General features: G+C 44.0%; 1 protein-coding gene and 2 non-coding genes across 4 annotated transcripts, besides 6 other annotated features; all 3 read right to left on the bottom strand.

Annotated features, from left to right (window-relative positions):
* Positions 1 to 9,313: 9,313 nt before the first annotated feature.
* RPS3A (ribosomal protein S3A) lies at positions 9,314 to 14,328 on the bottom strand. Of its 2 annotated transcripts, NM_001006.5 has the most exons (6): positions 14,242 to 14,328; positions 13,368 to 13,471; positions 12,794 to 12,981; positions 10,877 to 11,085; positions 9,670 to 9,779; positions 9,314 to 9,484 (listed from the first exon to the last, which is right to left on the bottom strand). In NM_001006.5, the coding sequence occupies exons 1-6, from the start codon at positions 14,301 to 14,303 to the stop codon at positions 9,363 to 9,365; spliced, it is 795 nt and encodes a 264-aa protein (NP_000997.1). In that variant the 5' UTR covers positions 14,304 to 14,328; the 3' UTR covers positions 9,314 to 9,362. The 2 variants fall into 2 exon arrangements, with proteins under 2 accessions (NP_000997.1, NP_001254628.1); NM_001267699.2 differs by lacking the exons at positions 9,314 to 9,484; positions 12,794 to 12,981 and having other exon boundaries at positions 9,758 to 11,085.
* On the bottom strand, positions 10,065 to 10,129 carry SNORD73A (small nucleolar RNA, C/D box 73A). Its single transcript, NR_000007.1, has one exon. It is a non-coding gene; the product is annotated as a small nucleolar RNA, C/D box 73A (small nucleolar RNA).
* On the bottom strand, positions 11,825 to 11,899 carry SNORD73B (small nucleolar RNA, C/D box U73B). The gene has a single exon (NR_145963.1). It is a non-coding gene; the product is annotated as a small nucleolar RNA, C/D box U73B (small nucleolar RNA).
* Positions 13,405 to 13,988: an enhancer, noted in NCBI's record as "NANOG-H3K27ac-H3K4me1 hESC enhancer chr4:152021120-152021703 (GRCh37/hg19 assembly coordinates)". NCBI's record gives its function as "activates a minimal SCP1, AML or CMV promoter by ChIP-STARR-seq in naive and primed H9 embryonic stem cells {active_cell/tissue: H9 hESC(naive and primed)}" and the evidence as "EXISTENCE:reporter gene assay evidence [ECO:0000049][PMID:30033119]".
* Positions 13,405 to 15,071: a biological region, named in NCBI's record as "MED14-independent group 3 enhancer GRCh37_chr4:152020037-152021236".
* Positions 13,872 to 15,071: an enhancer, noted in NCBI's record as "MED14-independent group 3 enhancer chr4:152020037-152021236 (GRCh37/hg19 assembly coordinates)". NCBI's record gives its function as "activates an origin of replication core promoter dependent on BRD2, BRD4, P300/CBP and CDK7 cofactors, and independent of MED14, by STARR-seq in HCT116 cells {active_cell/tissue: HCT116}" and the evidence as "EXISTENCE:reporter gene assay evidence [ECO:0000049][PMID:35650434]".
* Positions 13,989 to 14,573: an enhancer, noted in NCBI's record as "NANOG-H3K27ac-H3K4me1 hESC enhancer chr4:152020535-152021119 (GRCh37/hg19 assembly coordinates)". NCBI's record gives its function as "activates a minimal SCP1, AML or CMV promoter by ChIP-STARR-seq in naive and primed H9 embryonic stem cells {active_cell/tissue: H9 hESC(naive and primed)}" and the evidence as "EXISTENCE:reporter gene assay evidence [ECO:0000049][PMID:30033119]".
* Positions 14,009 to 14,568: an enhancer, noted in NCBI's record as "active region_22020". NCBI's record gives its function as "activates an Ori minimal core promoter by ATAC-STARR-seq in GM12878 lymphoblastoid cells {active_cell/tissue: GM12878}" and the evidence as "EXISTENCE:reporter gene assay evidence [ECO:0000049][PMID:35858748]".
* Positions 15,349 to 15,418: an enhancer, noted in NCBI's record as "active region_22019". NCBI's record gives its function as "activates an Ori minimal core promoter by ATAC-STARR-seq in GM12878 lymphoblastoid cells {active_cell/tissue: GM12878}" and the evidence as "EXISTENCE:reporter gene assay evidence [ECO:0000049][PMID:35858748]".

The following is an 18,960-nucleotide window of genomic DNA, read 5'->3' as shown; positions in this document are numbered from 1 at the left end:
CGGTTGCCATATACGGTATTACCCAAGACCACTCAGGCGTCAAAAGCATATGATCAGTCAGATTGAATCAAGGTTGTGTTGGTCCTGATGTCTGTATACATTCGAATTTGGGTGCTGTTGTTGATGGTATCAGGCACAGCAGAACAGTGCAGGACTGACCATGTTTATGAGAGATTTTCGTTTTCATAGCACATTTCATGGTGGTCTGGACAAGCCCAGCAGCAGGTCAGACTGTTAGCTGCAGCTGCCACTTGATTCAGGTAGTGGTTTTGAATCAAGGGCAGTGGTTCCAGCTGGGGGCAGTTTTGCCCTCCAGGGGACATTTGGCAATGTCTGAGCCATTTTTATTTGTCACAACTAGAGGGAAGGTGCTACTGGCATCTAGTGGGTAGAGGCCAGTGTAACTGCTAAACAACGAATTATCTGGCCTAAAATATTAATAGTGCCAAGGTTGAGAAACTGACCTAGGGAACAAATTGTGCATTAATTATTTCCCTTCCAGCTAGGCATGGTGGTTCACACCTGTAATCCCAGCACTCTGGGAGGCTGAGGCAGAAGGATCGCTTGAGCCAGGAGTTTTAAGACCAGCCTGGGTCTTAATATGACACATTAGTTTCAAGAGCTGTAATTGTATGGTCAAAGTCAGTTGGTCAGACCGAAACAGCAACGTCATAGCCTAAGAAGGTCTTAACAGCAGTCAGCCCCTCCGCCATGAGTTGCCCTAACAGGAGGTCAAATGGCCAGTGTAGTCAGTCAGTTAGGAGCAAGCGGGCCCATGTCCTGTATAGTATGGCCTTATTTACCTCCAGACAAATGGGATAACTTTAGCAGGGGTCACCAAGACTGGCATGCATGAGAAAGAGTTCTTTACTGGGTGCCTAGTCCGCCATGGTGGATGTGTTGCCATTGTGAGGACAATCCAGGTGATGCTGGCTTCATCAGCAGCTTGATTCCACTAGGTGTTATCAGTCACAGGTGTTATCAGCCCTTAACTGTAGTCATCTACATGAATGACCCAGATGTTCTGGTTGGCAGCCACAATTTATTTTCATAGTTTATAGCCTTAAAAGAGATGTCTTTAGTCTGCCTTTCAACTGGCAGACCAGATGTCTAGGCCATTAGTAACAGCCCAAGTCAGCAAAAACTAGTGTGGTGGCTCACACCTGTAATCTCAACTTTGGGAGGCTGAGGCAGGAGAATCACTTGAGTACAAGAGTTCAAGACCAGCCTGGGCAACATAGCGAGATGCCCATCTCTACAAAAATTTTAAAAAGCAGGTCATGGGGACACACACCTGTAGCCCCAGCTACTCAGGAGATTGAGGTAGGAGGATCCCTGAGTCCAGGAGGTTGAGACTGCAGTGAGCTGTGATCACACCACTGCACTCCAACCTGGGCAACAGCACAAGACCCTAACTCTAAAAATAATAATTTTTAAAATAGGGCAAGGTTAATCAAAAGCAGTATTGGCTATGAGAACTGAGTTCCGCCCACTGAGCAGGGACTTCATTCACTTTAGTTGCATGGCTAGCACTGAGGTTGGATTGCAACAGCAACACAATGGATACTACCAGCTTTCCATTCTGCAGAGCCATCAGTGAATCAGGCCCAATCATTTAGGAGACTTAGGTGAAGTAAGGACCCCATTGACCCAACAGGTGCAAGTACGCTTCACGCAGTGGAGTGCTAGATAAAGTTTTCCAGGAGTTTCTACCACCACTTCATGAAAAACCAAGATGATCCTAAGGCTGCTACATCCCAGAACACACTGTTTTTTATCAGCAAGGCTTGTTTAGTGAGGCATGCGGTCTCCAATACCCAAAGCCCTCCAATAAGCCTAGAAGCAGCAAAAGGTTAAAGAGATAGCAGTTTGTCCTTGACTGCCAGAGGGATTAAGCACTGTGAATCCATCCACACAGTCCCAAGAAACTACTTGGTGAACAGGCTCCTGAATTGTTTTGGAGTTTTATCAAACACTCCTGTTGGTGGAGGTGTGATGAAACCACAGTCAAGGTATGAGATTGAGAATTCTGAGTTGTCAAACAACTGGACAGCATCCTCGCTCTCATGTGAAAACTGTGGCCGTCAGAGTAGAAACACTTGTGTTTAAATACTGACACACACACACACACACACACACACGGCAAATGGCAGAGGAGTTTGTTCCATTAACACTTTTCTAAATACAGCAGTGCCCTGAATGGGAGAACCTCCTCTGAATACATGAAGTGCACAAGCATGTACACATCAGTCTCACATTTAGCAGTGCAAAATAGAACGCTGAATTGGCCCAGAGGGACTCACACACTTAAATATAAAAATATTTTTGCCTGGGCGCGGTGGCTCAAGCCTGTAATCCCAGCACTTTGGGAGGCCGAGGTGGGTGGGTCATCTGAGGTCAGGAGTTCAAGACCAGCCTGACCAACAATGGAGAAACCCTGTCTCCACTAAAAATACAAAATTAGCCAGGCATGGTGGCACATGCCTATAATCCCAGCTACTGGGGAGGCTGAGAAAGGAGAATCACTTGAACCTGGGAGGCAGAAGTTGCGGTGAGCCGAGATTGTGCCATTGCACTCCAGCCTAGGCAACAAGAATGAAACTCCCGTCTCAAATATATATATATATATTTTTATAAATTTAAAAAACCTTTTTCTCCACTGCAAGTTTTGCCCAAACCCTGTCAGTTGAATTTGGATGCTTTATTTCCTTATTTACAGTAGCACTGGCAAACTTTTCTCTGTGAAAAGCCAGATAAATAGTTTTGGCCTTGTGGGCCAAGAAGCAAAAGTGGGATGTAGGCATATAACAAGAGGAAACAAATCTCCACAAAATTATTAATGAAGTTCAAACTATCATGATAATAATTGAGTACTTTTCTGTAATACAGATCTACTAATGAGGAAAAAAATGGAATTTTTTTCTTTTGGGATGGGGAATAACATTTCATTAAATTAGAGCTTAGTGATTCCCATTATAAAAATGAGTTGCAAATTTTCATCTGTGAACAGTGACTTGTAATGAGATTTTATGTATTTCTTTTTTTTTTTTTTTTGAGACGGAGTCTCACTCTGTTGCCCAGGCTGGAGTGCAGTGGCGCAGTCTTGGCTCACTGTAACCTCCACCCACTGCAACCTCTGCCTCCCAGGTTCAAGCGATTCTCCTGCCTCAGCCTCCCAAGTAGCTGGGATTACAGGAGCATGCCATCACGCCTGACTAATTTTTGTATTTTTAGTAGAGACGGGATTTCACCATGTTGGCCAGGCTGGTCTTGAACTTCTGACCTCAAGTGATCCACCTGCCTTGGCCTCCCAAAGTGGTGGGATTACAGGCATGAGCCACAGTGCCTGGCCTGTATTTCATTTTTGAAGATGTCTTTTCACAGGTAAAATGTGTGGCACTCAAAATGTTTGAGCGTGGTATCGCTGCAGTTTGCAGTGTGCACCGCAGTGTGAAGTGATGAGTGCACCACCTCAGTGTGAACTGCACCTGCACCACTGCAGTTGTAGTGTAAAAAGCAGCAAGTGGGCCAGGGGCTGTGGCTCATGCCTGTAATTCAGCACTTTGGGAGGCTGGGGCAATAGGATCCTTTTGAGTCCAGGAGTTTAAGGCCAGCCTGGGCAACATAGTGAGACCCCATCTCTATTTAAAAACAGATTAAAAATGTTTTGAAGCAGAAACACAATATTTAAAGATAAATGAGTATGATCATGTTCCAATACGACTTGATTTGTGGATATTTATGTTTATTTTGAATTTCATATAATTTTTACACGTAGTAAAATATTTTTTCAAATCTATAAAAATAGAAAAAACATTCTCAGCTTGCAGACTATACAAAAATGGAAACTGGCCAGATTTACCATAGGCAGCAATTTGCCAACTCAGCCTGGACTAAGGATTATATCACATGGATGGTTAGCAATTATAACTGCAGCTGCTTTTAAGATCATAGGTGAAGAAGTCCCTGATACAGAAAATCAGAGCAAGGACACAGAATGCTAAAAACTGAAATTTAGGAAAACTTTACCTGCAAAAGATTTTTTTTTTTTTTTTTTGAGACAGATTCTGGCTCTGTCTCCCAGGCTGGAGTGCAGTGGCACAATCTCGGCTCACTGCAAACTCCTCCTCCAGGGTTCAAGTGATTCTCCTGCCTCAGCCTCCCAAGTAGCTGGGATTACAGGCCCACGCCACCAAGCCCGGCTAATTTTTGTAGTTTTAGTAGAGACAGGGTTTTGCCACGTTGACCAGGCTGGTCTGGAACTCCTGACCTCAAGTGATCTGCCCAGCTTGGCCTCCCAAAGTGCTGGGATTACCAGCCTGGCCAACATGGTGAAACCCCATCTCTAATAAAAATAACAAAATTAGTTGGGCATCGCGGCACACGCCTGTAATCCCAGCCTCTCAGGAGGCTGGGGCAGGAGAATCGCTTGAACCTGGGAGGCAGAGGTTGCAGTGGGCTGAGATTGCGCCATTGCGCTCCAGTCTAGGCGACAAGAGCGAAACTCCGTATCAAAAATTAAAAAAAGAATATACTGCCTACGTAACACTACTTAATCAGAAAAAAACCCTAGTAAGACATATTCAAGCAAAATTACTGGATTTTAAAGAAACAGAAGGCTGGGCGCGGTGGCTCACGCCTGTAATCCCAGCACTTTGGGAGGCCAACGTGGGCGGATCATGAGGTCAGGAGATCGAGACCATCCTGGCTAACACGGTGAAACCCCGCCTCTACTAAAAATACAAAAAATTAGCCGGGCGTGGTGGTGGGCACCTGTAGTCCCAGCTACTTGGGAGGCTGAGGCAGGAGAATGGCATGAACCCAGGAGGCAGAGCTTTCAGTGAGCCGAGATCATGCCACTGCACTCCAGCCTGGGCGACAGAGCAAGACTCCGTCTCTTAAAAACAAACAAACAAAAAAAACAGAAAGGCTGGGCACGGTGGCTCACGCCTGTAATCCCAGCCCTTTGGGAGGCCGAAGCAGGCGGATCACAAGGTCAGGAGATCGAGACCATCCTGGCTAACATGGTGAAACTCCGCTTCTACTAAAAATACAAAAAAATTAGCCAGGCATGGTGGTGGGTGCCTGTAGTCCCAGCTACTCAGGAGGCTGAGGCAGGAGAATGGCGTGAACCTGGGAGGCGGAGATTGCAGTGAGCTGAGATCGTGCCACTGCACTCCAGCCTGGGCGACAGAGTGAGACTCCATCTCAAAAAAAAAAAAGAGAAAAAACTGGGGGGCCTCTACCCAAAATCGAAGACTTTTAAAAGAAATTTAATTATCATACTTTTCACTAGCAATGCTTTAAGTTATTTTTAAAAAAATGGGAGTAGCATATTTAAGATGCTTAAAGAGTGAGCCAAGGAGCTAAGGATGCAGCAAAAGTGACTTTGAGATATAAAGTACTCTGACAAATTATACTCACCATGGAAGAATAAGAACTTCCTAAGGAACCTACCAAAGGACATGCTTCAGACAACCAAAATAACTAGAGAGCCATCAATCTAAAGACTGGTGGTGGGCATTAAACATAGTTACTTGTGGCCAGGCGCGGTGGCTCATGCCTGTGATCTCAGCACTTTGGGAGGCCAAGGCGGGTGGATCACCTAAGGTCAGGGGTTCGAGACCACCCTGGCCAACATGGTGAAACCCCGTCTCTACTAAAAATACAAAAAATTAGCCGGGTGTGGAGGCCGGCACCTGTAATCCCAGCTACTTGGGAGGCTAAGGCAGAATGACTTGAACCCGGGAAGCAGAGGTTGCAGTGAGCTGAGATTGTGCCACTGCACTCCAGTCTGGGCGACAGAGCAAGACTCTGTCTCGAAAAAAAAAAAAAAAAAGCATTATTTTTGGAACCTCTTTCAAATGAGCCCTTCTAAAAATAGAATACTATGCCAACCCCTATTCCAAGGTGTAGCAGATTAGAGCTTGATTATGGATTATACTATTACCTTACTAAATGATATCCAGCCTCAGTGCATCAAGAGGAAAACCACCATTTATGTAATAATCAGTCCTCATCCCATGACCTCTTTTTCTACCCTGGGGAGGGAGCCCCTGCCATTTGGGACCCATATCTATGTCTAAACCAGCCTTTAGTAGAAAGTAAGGCATTTGTTTCTTGGCTAAGGGACATTAATAGGGAATATCACTCATTCCTTTATTCAACAAATATTGAACTAGGCAATGATGATCTGACAATTAATCAGTGCCCTACCACCACCAAAAACACTGTCCTCATGGAATTTTTCTCATAGACACGAGTAAACAAAACTGGAAAAAAATCACAAGTGTCAGAGGGCACCACCAGATTCTACGGAGGAGACATTATTAGAACAAACTTCAATTCCTCATTCAGGTTGCTTAAAAATAAACAACAAACAGCAGAGACTTCAAGGAGGTGAAATAAACACTGTGGCCATGTAAAGGAGAATATTTCAAGCACAGGGAAGAGCAAGGGGAATAGGAGTAAGAGACAAGTCAGATGCAAGATCACATGGGATCTTTGAATGAATCGTCTAAAACAGATTTTCAGGGCCTGGTATAGTGGCTCATACCCGTAATCGGGAGGATCACTTGAGGCCAGGAGTTCCAGACCAGCCTTGGAGCCTTGGGAATATAGCAAGACCCCATTTCCACATGAAATATTTTAAAATTAGCCAGCCATGGTGGCACACACCTGTAGCCCCAGCTACTCAGGAGGCTAAGGCAGGAGGATCACTTGAGCCCAGGAATGCAAAGCTGCAGTGAGCTGATTGTCTCACTGCATTCCATTCTGGGCAACAGAGTGAGATCCTGCCTATAAAAAATAAAAGACTTCCACAAGATAGGACATAGACAAGGTAGGCAGGAACAATCCAAGTAGTAATGGTGGCTTGTTTCAAATAGCAGAAGATGGTAATAACTGATTAGACTCCAGATATATATAGTTTGAATCAACTGTGAATGGTCAAGGATGACCACAGAGGATTTTGGCCTAAGCAACCAAAAGGGTGGGTACAATTGAGATAATACCATTTTAGAACACTGTATGTTAAATGCCTGTCTGACATCCAAGTGGGGATATCAAGTAGGCACTTAGACAAACCTGGATGTCCCAAAGAAAGGTATAGGCTAGAAATATAAAAATCTCCATTAATTTAAAACCAAGAACCTAGGGAGAGTATAGAAATGTCTAACGACCAAGCCCTAGGGCCTTCTTTTTTTTTTTTTTTGAGACGGAGTCTCACACTGTCTCCTCAGCTGGAGTGCAATGGCCCAATCTCAGCTCACTACAACCTCTGCCTCCCAGGTTCACGCAATTCTCCTGCCTCAGTCTCCCAAGTAGCTGGGATTACAGGTGCACACCACCACACCCGGCTAACTTTTTGTATTTTTTAGTAGAGACAGGGTTTCACTGTGTTGGCCAGCCTGGTCTGTAACTCCTGACCTCGTGATCCGCCCGCCTCAGCCTCCCAAAGTGCTGGGATTACAGGCGTGAGCCACTGCACCCGACCAGCCCTAGGGCCTTCTAAAACTGATTAAAAGTCTAAAAAATGAACTAGTAAAGGAGTAGCCAATGATGTAGGAGGAAAAGCTTGAGTCGAGGATCTGGAAGACAGTTAAAATCAGGAAGAAATCAACTGTCAAGAGTCACTAACAGGACAAAGTGATAAGCAAGTCACTAACAGAGGTCAAGTAAAAGACCTCTAGTAAAAGAATGGACCACTGAATTTAGCAACAAAATCACTGCTAATCTTGACAATGAAATGTCTTGGAGTGGTGTTGGGAGGAAAGCCTAACTGCAGCAAATTGAAGAAAAATAAAATAAAAACTAAAAAATGTGGCTGGGCACCATGGCTCACACCTATACTCCCAGCACTTTGGAGGCTGAGGCAGGAAGATCCCTTGAGGCCAGGAATTTGAGACCAGTCTGGACATAACAGCCAAGACCCTACAAAGAACTTAAAAACTAGCAGATTAGGCCTGGTGCAGTGGCTCACACCTGTAATCTCAGCAATTTGGGAGGCCAAGGCGGGAGGATCACTTGAGGCCAGGAATTCAAGACAAGCCTTGCCAACATGGCGAAACCCCCATCTCCACTAAAAAATGCAAAAATTAGCCCAGCATGGTGGTGGGTGCCTATAATCCTAGCTACTGGGGAGGCTGAGACACAAGCATCGCTTGAACCTGGGAGATGGAGGTTGCAGTGACCCAAGATCGCACTAACACACTCCAGCCTGGGTGACAGTGAGACTGTCTTTAAAATAAAAAAAGCTGGGTGTGGTGTGGCACAGGCCTGTGTCCCAACTACTCAGGAGGCCTGAGAGGGAGGGCTGCTTGAGCCCAGGACTTTAGGGTTACAGCGAGCTATGATCACACCATTCTACTCCATCCTGGGTGACAGAGTAAGATCATGTCTCTCAAATGTAATTTTTTTTTCAACAGTCTCATTTTGTAGCCCAGACTGGAGTGCAGCTCACTGCAACCTCCACCTCCCAGGTTCAAGTGATTTTCATGCCTCAGCCTCCCGAGAAGCTGGGATTACAGGCACCCCGCCACCACACCTGGCTAATTTTATTTTTTTTAGGTGAGACGGTGTCTCACCATGTTGGCCAGGCTGGTCTTGAACTTCTGACCTCAAGCAATCCACCCACCTCAGCCTCCCAAAGTGCTGGGATTACTGGCATGAGCTACGCACTTGACCTTTAAAATATATTTTATATGTAAAAAAGTTTTAAAAATTAAAAAAAATTAAATGATACCAATATATAAAAAATTCCTTTGAGCTTTGCTATAAAGGGACTTAGTAAGGTGCTCTGGGAGGGTATACTAGTATTTGTATACTAGTATACAAGGGACAGCGAGGAATTGATAAAGGTGTGAATTGCTGAAGCCATGAGGCTGATTGGGCAAAAAAAAAAAAGGCTGTCTTATGTCTTAGCACAATCCATCCAGTGGTATGACAGAAGGTAGTATGATTAACACATGCATAGGTGGCAGAATATAGGTAACAGAAATTTGTGGGGTTCTTTTCTCTGCTTTAAACTTTTTTAGTGATTAAAGGAAGCAAGGTTATCAGCTAAGCAAGAAATGAGAAAACTGAAAAGGCTTGAGAAGAGGTAGAAACTGAATGAATGAGTGACTATAGGTGGATAGCACTAAATGCCCACTTGGTAACAGCTTCTCCGCCCCATTTCAGCTTCACAGTAAAGGTGCATAGTAGTATGTTTATATCCAATTTGTCTGGGTCAGAAAAGTTTACCAGCTGTCAAATTTACTGTCTAATCCACCAAGCTGTCAGATTATTTTTAAAAAAAGAATGTTCAGAAGCAAACCATCACAAATAGCACTTTTTATTTGCCACTATTTGAAGTCTGAACTTTAAACAGATTCTTGGACTGGTGGTTCATATCCATCAGCTCGTTCAACTTTAGCACCTGTCTCGTCCCCAGTGGCTTTTCCAGAACTACTGCCTTCACCATGAAGCTCCATGAGCTTTCCCACTAAAAGGCAAAAAAAAAAAAAAAAAAAAAAACCAAAAAACTGTTAGTATATCTTGAAATAATGGTCATCACTACTATGCAAGCATGACAGGAAGAAAAAGAAGGCCATGATATGGCCCCACACTCCTCCTCCACCCAAAAACAATGTATTTGGCCCTACAGGAATCATGTGATTTCTCACTTACATTCAAACTTGGGCTTCTTCAGCATTTTTACTTTTCTAACGAAGACATCATGGAGAGGATAAATAGATTGGCAAGCCTTTTCTATGTCTTTTCCAATGCTGTCTGGAATCCTGCAAACCAGTAACAGTAAATTTTTTTCTAAAAGTCCTAGTTCTCAGATATAAGCCATTTCCTTTAAAAGTAGAGAAGCCTTGGAATAAACCTACACATAACACCTACCTCATTTAACCTGCATAAATCCTCCTGTTAAGATAAGCCATTATTTACCTTTCACATGTAAAGGATAGATGATCTGAATTACATAGCTAGCTAGTGGCAAAGTTAGTAGAGTCTTCTGAGTCCAAGCCTTATGCTTTTTCCATTACACCCTCTTAGCTAACTGTATATTGCATGGGAACATCAGAAAAATGTTGTTATCACTGGCCATCATCTGGGACCGAAACTTTTTTCATCACTTATTCCCGTGCATCATTAATCATGAAAGGTTTTGTCTATTCAGTGTATTTTTTCTTTGTGTGTGTATATATATATACGTATATTTTTTATTTTTTGGGACAGGGTCTCCCTATATTGCCCAGGCTGGCCTCAAACTCCTGGGCTCAAACAATCCTACCACCTCAGCCTCCTGAGTAGCTGGGACTCCAGGCACATCCCACCCCACTCAACTTATTCAGTGTATTTTCCAAGTAGGGGAAAAACATTTCCTGTCCTTCAACTCCATCTACTGTGAGACAGCTTCATTCAAAATAAATAAACACGAAAAAACTGTTATCATTTAGAGTACTGGCAGATCACCTGAAGTCAGGAGTTCAAGACCAGCCTGGCCAACATGATGAAACCCCATCTCTACTAAAAATTTAAAAAAATTAGCTGGGTATGGTGGCAGTCCCCTGTATTCCCAGATACTCAGGAGGCTGAGGCTCAAGAACTGCTTGAACCCAGGAAGCAGTGGTTACAGTGAGCCAAGGAGGATCACAATACTGCACTCGAGCCTGGGCAACAGAGCAAGACTCTGACTCAAATAATAATAGTAATAATAATCATATTTACTGAGTACTTAACACTCTTTCACTTAAAGAGATATAGCTAGAAGGATTCACAGACAGGATTTCAACAGACCTTTACCTTGTCTCATATGCGTTCTCTCATCTCAGGAATAATCCAATACTCAAGGTTGTGTTGTGTGAGGAAGCAAAGAAACACTTACAATTTATTGACCACTTCTTTCAAGTCATTTGTCTGCACCTCTCGGGTCATGATTTCCATCATCTTCTTCCGGATTTGGCGGACCTGTTGGTGCTGAGCATAAGAGGTCTTCCGTATCTGATTGTTGCGTTTTTTAGTAAAACCAACACAGAACAGACGAAGCAAGTAACCATCGGTAGTCTTGACATCAACGTGAGCTTCAATCATTGTCTGGAGAAAAAAGATACCGTCAGATTTAACAGGTTTTACGTTATCCATTTATCCCTCAAGTTCTAATTTTAAAAAGCTGGATTGTCAAACACTCATTATTAAATATAAAGTATCCTAACATAAGTAACATCTCTTTAAGTTTACAGAATTAACTTCCTTGAACTTACCAAGTTACCCCCAAATTCTTACCCAATTAAATAACCAGGTCCTCTCAACTGCCCTCCCTCCTCCTTTCTACCCTCCATTAACACTACCACTATCTTGACGGCATCCAAACCCACATCCATTGCATATACATATACCCCTTTAAACAGCTCATACCCCCTCAAGTGTAAAACTACACCAGAGGAAAATAGGTCTGAGAGGATCCATGGTATTCTATGGTATGAACACATCTACAGTGATTATGTCATTTTTCAAAAAACTGTGTTGTAAATAGGTGACTGCTATAACTCTAAATGCACACTTTGAAAGACGTCTTTTATGTTCCAAACTAAAGCCATGCTGATGATTAAATACCCAATTTCAGAGCTAAAATATAATTAAAAACCCCTAGTTAGTGGTCATATTATTGCCTAAATTGAAAAAACAAAAAACATCTTGGGTAGTGATGAAAACTGATTTACCTTGTTTGCATTTTGTAAATTTTATACCTTAGTATAAAAAAAAACTAATCAAATACAATTTACAGCTAAGGGACCTTAAAATATTTCTAGAAATGTAAACCATAAAGCCTTAGAGGAATGTCAGGATAAATATAATGGTATAATCAGTATGTATCATTTGGGACTGAAACATTTTGTCATCATTCATTCCCACATACAAAATATTCGAACTGTGCCAGGTGCAGTGGCTCACACCTGTAATCCCAGCACTTTGAGAGGCTGAGGCGGGCAGATCACTTGAAGTCAGGAGTTCGAGACCAGCCTGGCCAATATGGTGAAACCCTGTCTCTACTAAAAATACAAAAATTAGCTGGGCGTGGTGGCGGGTGCCTGTAATCCCAGCTACTTGGGAGGCTGAGGCATGAGAATCCCTTGAACCCAGGAGGAGGAGGTTGCAGTGAGCAGAGATGGCGCCACTGCACTCCAGCCCGGACGATAAGAGACTCAATCTCCCAAAAACAAAAAACTCCCACAAAATATTCCAACTGGATAGTTAGCCAGACACATCTGAAATATTTTCATTTCATCCTCACAATTCAATAAAATGACACTCTTATCTGCACTTTACAAATAAAGAAACCGAGGCTTAGAAAACAAGTTACTTTCCAACGAGAACACAATAGGCAAATGGAGCCCAGATTTTAACCTCACTCCAGAGGCTCTGCCACAATTATGCTCTACTGCCACAGTTAATCAACATTCACTCAATTCTGAGGTCAAAAAACATCCTTAAGACAGGCAAAACCGCCCACCTGCACCTAAACGTTCCTCAAAAAACCACTAATCTATGCAGCAAGAAAATCTGACTTTGATGATACACCACTATTAAATCTTAGATTTAAATAGTAAGTAAAATATGGTGTGGCAACCCCAGAGTTAGCACTCAACAACGGCAAGAAAACAAAAATTTAAAATGAACTTTGTGGACATTTCACTGGTCTCAATAAATAAATAAAATGAACTTGCTCCTTCCAGTCATCAAACCATGCTATCCTTGGTCAAACACCCATAGCACAACCACTCTAAGGAACTTTGGGTCTCACCTGCCATTTTTTGACCATGGAACACATTTTGTCACGGGTAAGATCCATGCCATGGAAGTTAGTCAGGCAGTTTTTACCCTGAACATCTTCAGTAATCAGCTTGAATTTTCTAAATGCAACTTCATCATTCTGCAAATCAGCAAGACTCACTTCAAACACACGACCCTTGAGACCATCAGATGCAATTTCTACAAAAGAAAAAAACAAGTATCTTAACATTTAGGAACCATATAAGCAAAGTCAAGCCTGTAAACTGAGGGTAGAAATTAAGTTAATGGTAAATTATAAAGACCTTAACCTTTGTTATCAAATCTATCCAGACACCAGTGACTTATCAACAGTACTTATTTGAAGCTCAGAACTACCCATGGCACATTTTCTTAATTCAAAAAGCACCATCTTGCTTCTCTCCAAGTGCTGTACTAAAAATGATCACCACAGGTGCCAAGGCTGCAACCAAGAGCTGACATTTCCTTAAAGTCTCCCACCACAGGACCAACAACAGACCAAGATGCCTGCTACAATATACAAGCGCCAACTTAAGGAAAATACAAACCAAGAATAAGCTACTTACTGGTTCCTTGGGTCCTGGTGACGAGCGTCTTTCCAATATTTCTTATATTGAACATAGCAGGTGCTTTCACATCATACCAATCTTTCTTAGAAAATGGATCAACCCTGGATTTTAAGAAGATGCTTAAGTTCCATTGCAGATCAATTCTTACTGTATTTTTCACTGTTAATGGTATTTCCCATTAATATTTTAAAAAGCTAACCGGCAATTTGATACCAAAGTATATCTCACAGTGAGGTGAGGGGAACAAACATAAATCTAGCTCTTCCCACTGTACGTTTCACTGCATGCATCAGACTTTGAAAGGTTATGTCCACTTCCCACCCTCATCGGTCCATCCACTACACAGGCACTTAGAATAACATGCATCGGTCCTTCCACTACACAGGCACGAGTAACATGCAATCTCATTAACTTTGCTGGCACGTAATGGCATGTACTGGTAACTAAGAGACTGCATGGCCCCAAAGCTTAGCAGGAGCTCGCAGATTCCAGCGGGACCAAGCAAAGGCGAGATTGACGGGTCCTGAATGGATAGAAGGGTGCTTTCCTCAACTCCTGCTGTCGCAGTGCCATCAAACACTCGCAGAATTGAGGCAGCTCGTGAGCCCACAAAACTAACATTCCAGCCGAGTCGCGCCGGCAAGCCGGCTCAAACGCGACGCGCGCAAGGACCAGAAGGCCTGGGAAAGGCAGCCGACCTGCCGCTACTCAACACCGACCCTCCAGGCCGCGTTCCTGGGTGCACCAACCCGCCACGGCCCGCACAATCCGACTGGAATCCTCGCCATCCGGCCTACGCCGCGATCTAGGACCAGCCCGCCGATTCCAGCAGACCCCCAAAAAGCAAGACGCCACGACAGTCGCGACTTACACTTTCTTCTTGGCTCCCTTTTTGCCGCCTTTCGTAAGGCGCTTGTTCTTGCCAACCGCCATGGTGCTGGTCAGAGAGCCAAAAGGGCGGAAGTGGGAGTCGCGCGAGAACTTAGGCGTACGGGGGCGGGGCGCGCCGTCTACGTGACCTTTGCCCTGTTATTCTTCCGGCCTCAAGAATTCCGGGACAGTAGAGAGCGCCACTCTTTCTACTGTGGTTGCGACATCGCCATCGTGTGTGGGGAGGCCGCGCGGCATGCCGCGGGCTCACTGGAGGCTGCGCTGTGTAGACCAAGGCGTCGGTGGCCTGACGTGCAGGCGTCTGGTTACCTGTGGTTTCTGTGGCTGTGACGTCGGGAAGTAAGTTTCTGTAAAACGAGACGCCCACTCAACATCGTTCAAAGCTGAACTCACCGTCTAACCCCCAAACCTGCTTTTTGAGAGCATTGGCTTTGGAGTCAGTCAGCGGATCTGATTCAAATGCCGGTTTCAACAGGGCTTTGCTTGAGACCGACCTCTCCACGCTTGTTTCCTCATGCGTAATATGGGGGTGATAAAACGGTCGGCTTCATGAGGTTTCATAGGGCTAAATGAGCATCACTCCAGAGATGCTAGCGACGTTCTGCTTGTTGATGTGGATGCTGGTTCATCTCAGGTGTTGTTGCTTTGTGAACATTCACTAAGCTCTACGCTTATTTGTGTCCTTTTCTATATGTCTGTTATATATTGATTAAAAGGTTTTTTTAAAATAGAGTGAGACCGAACTCGTTGGCTCACACCTGTAATCCCAGCACTTTAAGAGGCTGAGGCAGGGGAATCAACTGAAGCCAGGAATTGGAGACTAGCCTGGGCCACACAGCCAGACCCCGTCTTTACAAGAAAATGATAAAATTAGCAGGGCGTTGGCCGGGCGCGGTGGCTCACGCCTGTAATCCCAGCACTTTGGGAGGCTGAGGCGGGCGGATCGCCTGAGCTCAGGAGTTCGAGACCAGCCTGGCCAACATAGTGAAACCCCGTCTCTACTAAACATACAAAAAATTAGCCGGGTGGGTGCCTGTAATCCCAGCTACTCGGGAGGCTGAGGCACGAGAATCTGAGCTCAGGAGGCGGAAGTTGCAGTGAGCCGAGATCGCGCCATTGCCTGGCCAACAAGAGTGAAACTGCGTCAAAAAAAAAAAAGTGAGATCTCCAAATGTTTCCATTTTTGCAACTAATCCAAACCCGCCTCCCCCATTTTTTTTAACTGTAGGGGTTAACAGAGCACATCCTGGCAAGGTGTGGCTGGCTAGCTCAAGTGTGCAGCCCTCGGAAAGCATCTGGCCCATACAGGCTTGGTACTCAGCCAGTGGTGTGTTGAGTTCCCTTCTCTAACTTCCCCTCTGGCAGAAAACCCTGTGACCAAGCCAAAACCAACCCTTACTTACAAGGCCCCCTGCAAGCTTTTAAACTTACAATCCCTTCCAGTCCTGCTAGCCTCCATCCCCTACCTCCCACTACACCCACCCCCCAAGACAACCTTCCTAAACCTCTAGTAGGGTCCTGAAATCTTTCAGTAATTCCATAAATCTCAGTTGCCTGGAGGATAAATTCAAAGTCTTAGTTTCATAATAGTATGAATGTACTTAACACTACTGAACTCTACACTTAAAAAAGGTTAAGGTAGCCCTGCCAGGTGTCTCAGGCCGCTAGTTCCAGGTATTCGGAAGGCAGAGGCAGGAGGATCACTTGAGGCTAGGAGTAGGACTCCAGCCTGGGCAACATAGTGAGACCCCATCTCTTTTTTAAAAAGATGATTAAGATGGTTAATTTGGCCAGGTGGTGGCTCATGCCTGTAATCTCAGCACTTTAAGAGGCCAAGGCAGGAGGTTTTCTTGAGCTCAGGAGTTTGATACCAGCCTGGGCAACATTACAAGACCTAATCTCAACTAAAAATAAAAAAAAATTAGCCCGGCTTGATAGCTCATGCCTGTAGTCCCAACTACTCGGAAGGCTGAGGTAGGAGGATCCCCAGCACTTTGGGAGGCCAAGGCAGATGGATCACTTGAGGCCAGGAGTTCGAGACCAGCCTGGACAACATGGTGAAACCCCGTCTCTACTAAAAATACAAAAATTAGCTGGGCGTGGTAGTGCACACCTGTAGTCTCAGCTACTCGGGAGGCTGAGGTACGAGAATCGCTTGAACCTGGGAAGTGGAGGCTGCAGTGAGCCGAAATCACACCACTGCACTCCAGCCTGGGCTGGACAGAGTGAAACTCCATCTAAAAAAAAAAAATATATATATATATATATATATGTATGTATATGTATATATTATGGGCCCCCAGTCTGCCTACTCCAGCATAAAAACCAAACTTACCTTCTTCCTGGTCTGATTCCTCTTTCTGCCCAAGAGTGAAAGCCACAGGGAGAGACCTTAATGAAGTCAGCTGCATCTAATTTATTTTAGCAGCACCAGCACCTAAGGGATTTGTCAGAGGTCTGTATTTCAATCCTCAACTTTGTTTTGTAGTAAAAGCTTTAAAAATTTTCTATTAATATTTTTCTGACCCTTTACATTAAATGGTGCAATCAGCAGTTTTAATGTAATTGTGTTGAATAAAAGTTAGGGGGTGTGAAATTAGTTTATTGGGTCTCAACCATCATTTAATATTTTCAGATAGAATAAAATGGAACAGGCCAGGCACGGTGGTTCACGCCTCAGCATTTTGGGAGGCTGAGACGAGTGAATCTTTTGAGCTCAAGAGTTGGAGACCAGCCTGGACAACATGGCAAAAAACGCTGTCTCTACAAAAAATACAAAAATGAGTCAGGTGTGGTGGTGACTTGTGGTCCCAGCTACTTAGGAGGCTAGGTGGGAGGATCGTCTGAGCCCGGGAGGTTGAGGCAGCAGTGAGCCATGATGGTACCACTAAGTGAGACCCTGTCTCTAAAAAAATAATAATAAAATGGAACAGAAAAATGTCAGAATACATCAAACCTAGTAAGGTGTCAATATTGTTTCATTGGCTGGGTGTGGTGGCTCACGCCTGTAATCCCAACACTTTGGGAGGCTGAGATGGGCAGGTCAGCTGAGGTCAGGAGTTGGAGACCAGCCTGGCCAACATGGTGAAACCCTGTCTCTACTAACAATACAAAAATTATCCAGGCATGGCGATGGGCACCTGTAATCCCAGCTATTTGGGAGGCTGAGGCAGGAGAATCACTGGAACCTGGGAGGCGGAGGTTGCAGTGAGCCGAGATTGCGCCACTGTACTCCAGGCTGGGTGACAGAGCGAGATTCCATCTAAAAAAAAAAAAAGTACAGTATTATAATCTTGTGGGATACTGGTATTGACTGGAAGTCATTATGTGGCACATAATTGTAGTAGACATTCAGTAACTTTAACTTTCCTTTTCTCTGTTCCCCAAAATAAATATAAGATTTATTATCTAGCTTTCTCTCCACTGCCCACTGACATTTATATCAACATCTCCCTGTCCTCAACCTTGTGATAACTTTATGTTGAGTGTTGCTCTTGTTGGAGTCATTTCCCATCCCTGTCTCCCCTGCAGAGTTTGTTGTGATTGCCAGATAGGAAGAAAGAACTTGTTCCAGGATATAAAGCAAGAGGATTGAGAACAAAAGCTGAGATTAAATCTGTACATGGTGATATTAGTGTCATTCTAAAAGTACAGAGGTACAACCAAACTGGATTCCTTCATACCATTGCTGTTCCTAAGCGCAGCACACGTCCAGGGCAGGGGCACTCCCTTTGCTTCACTATCCACACTGCCATCGTTGTTGCTGTTTTAACATGGGAATTGAAACCACTGCACTCCAGTGTGGGTGACAGAGAGACTCCTTCTCAGAAAAAACAAAACAAAACAAAACAAAACACTGCTCGTACTGTAAAAGCACAAGTGCTGGAACTTTCCTTCTAGTCAGCAACATTTCACGAAGTGAAAATCCAGGGCTAGAATCTAGTACAATCACTATTTGGTATCATGTAGGTCTAGGTTCAATCCCACCTTATCACATAGTTTTTTTTGTTGTCATTTTTGGTTTTAAACATTTACTTTAGGTTCGGGGTACATGGGCAGGTTTGTTATATTGGTAAACTCATGTCATGGGGGTTTGTTGTATAGATTGTTTTATCTAAGGTGCTAAGCCTAGTACCCACTAGTTATTTTTTCTGATCCTCTCCTTCCTTCCACCCTCCACCCTCCATTCTCAAGTAGTCCCCAGTGTCTGTGTTCTCCTCTTTGTGCCCATGTGTTCTCATTATTTAGCTCCCACTTATACACTTATAAGCGAGAATGTAGTATTTGGTTTTCTGTTCCTGTGTTAGTTTGCTATGGATAATGGCCTCAAGCTCCATTCTTGTTCCTGAAAAAGACATGATCTTGTTCTTTTTTTATGGCTGCGTAGTAGTCCATGGTGTGTATATACTACATTTTCCTTATCCAGTCTGCCATTGATGGGCATTTAGGTTGATTCCATGTCTTTGCTATTATCACGTAGCAGTTTGACTTCAGAAAAATTTTTAATCTTTCTGAACTTGTTTTCTCATTACCATATTAGTTCAGTTCAAGGCTGCCATGTTGGACAATTCCAGGAGAGCCACTCACATAGATTGCACAGGGAGTTACACAACAACTTGGTTCAGAAGCTGTAACAGAGACTTAAATAACAGTGGCATAAACAAAGTAGAAGTTGGCCAGGTGCAGTGGCTCACGCCTG

The sequence above is a fragment of the Homo sapiens genome, chromosome 4, assembly GCF_000001405.40.
Source record: "Homo sapiens chromosome 4, GRCh38.p14 Primary Assembly".
NCBI classification, from domain to species: Eukaryota; Metazoa; Chordata; class Mammalia; order Primates; family Hominidae; genus Homo; species Homo sapiens.
Note: the sequence above shows the minus strand (reverse complement) of the source record. Positions and strands in the feature narration are given on the sequence as shown.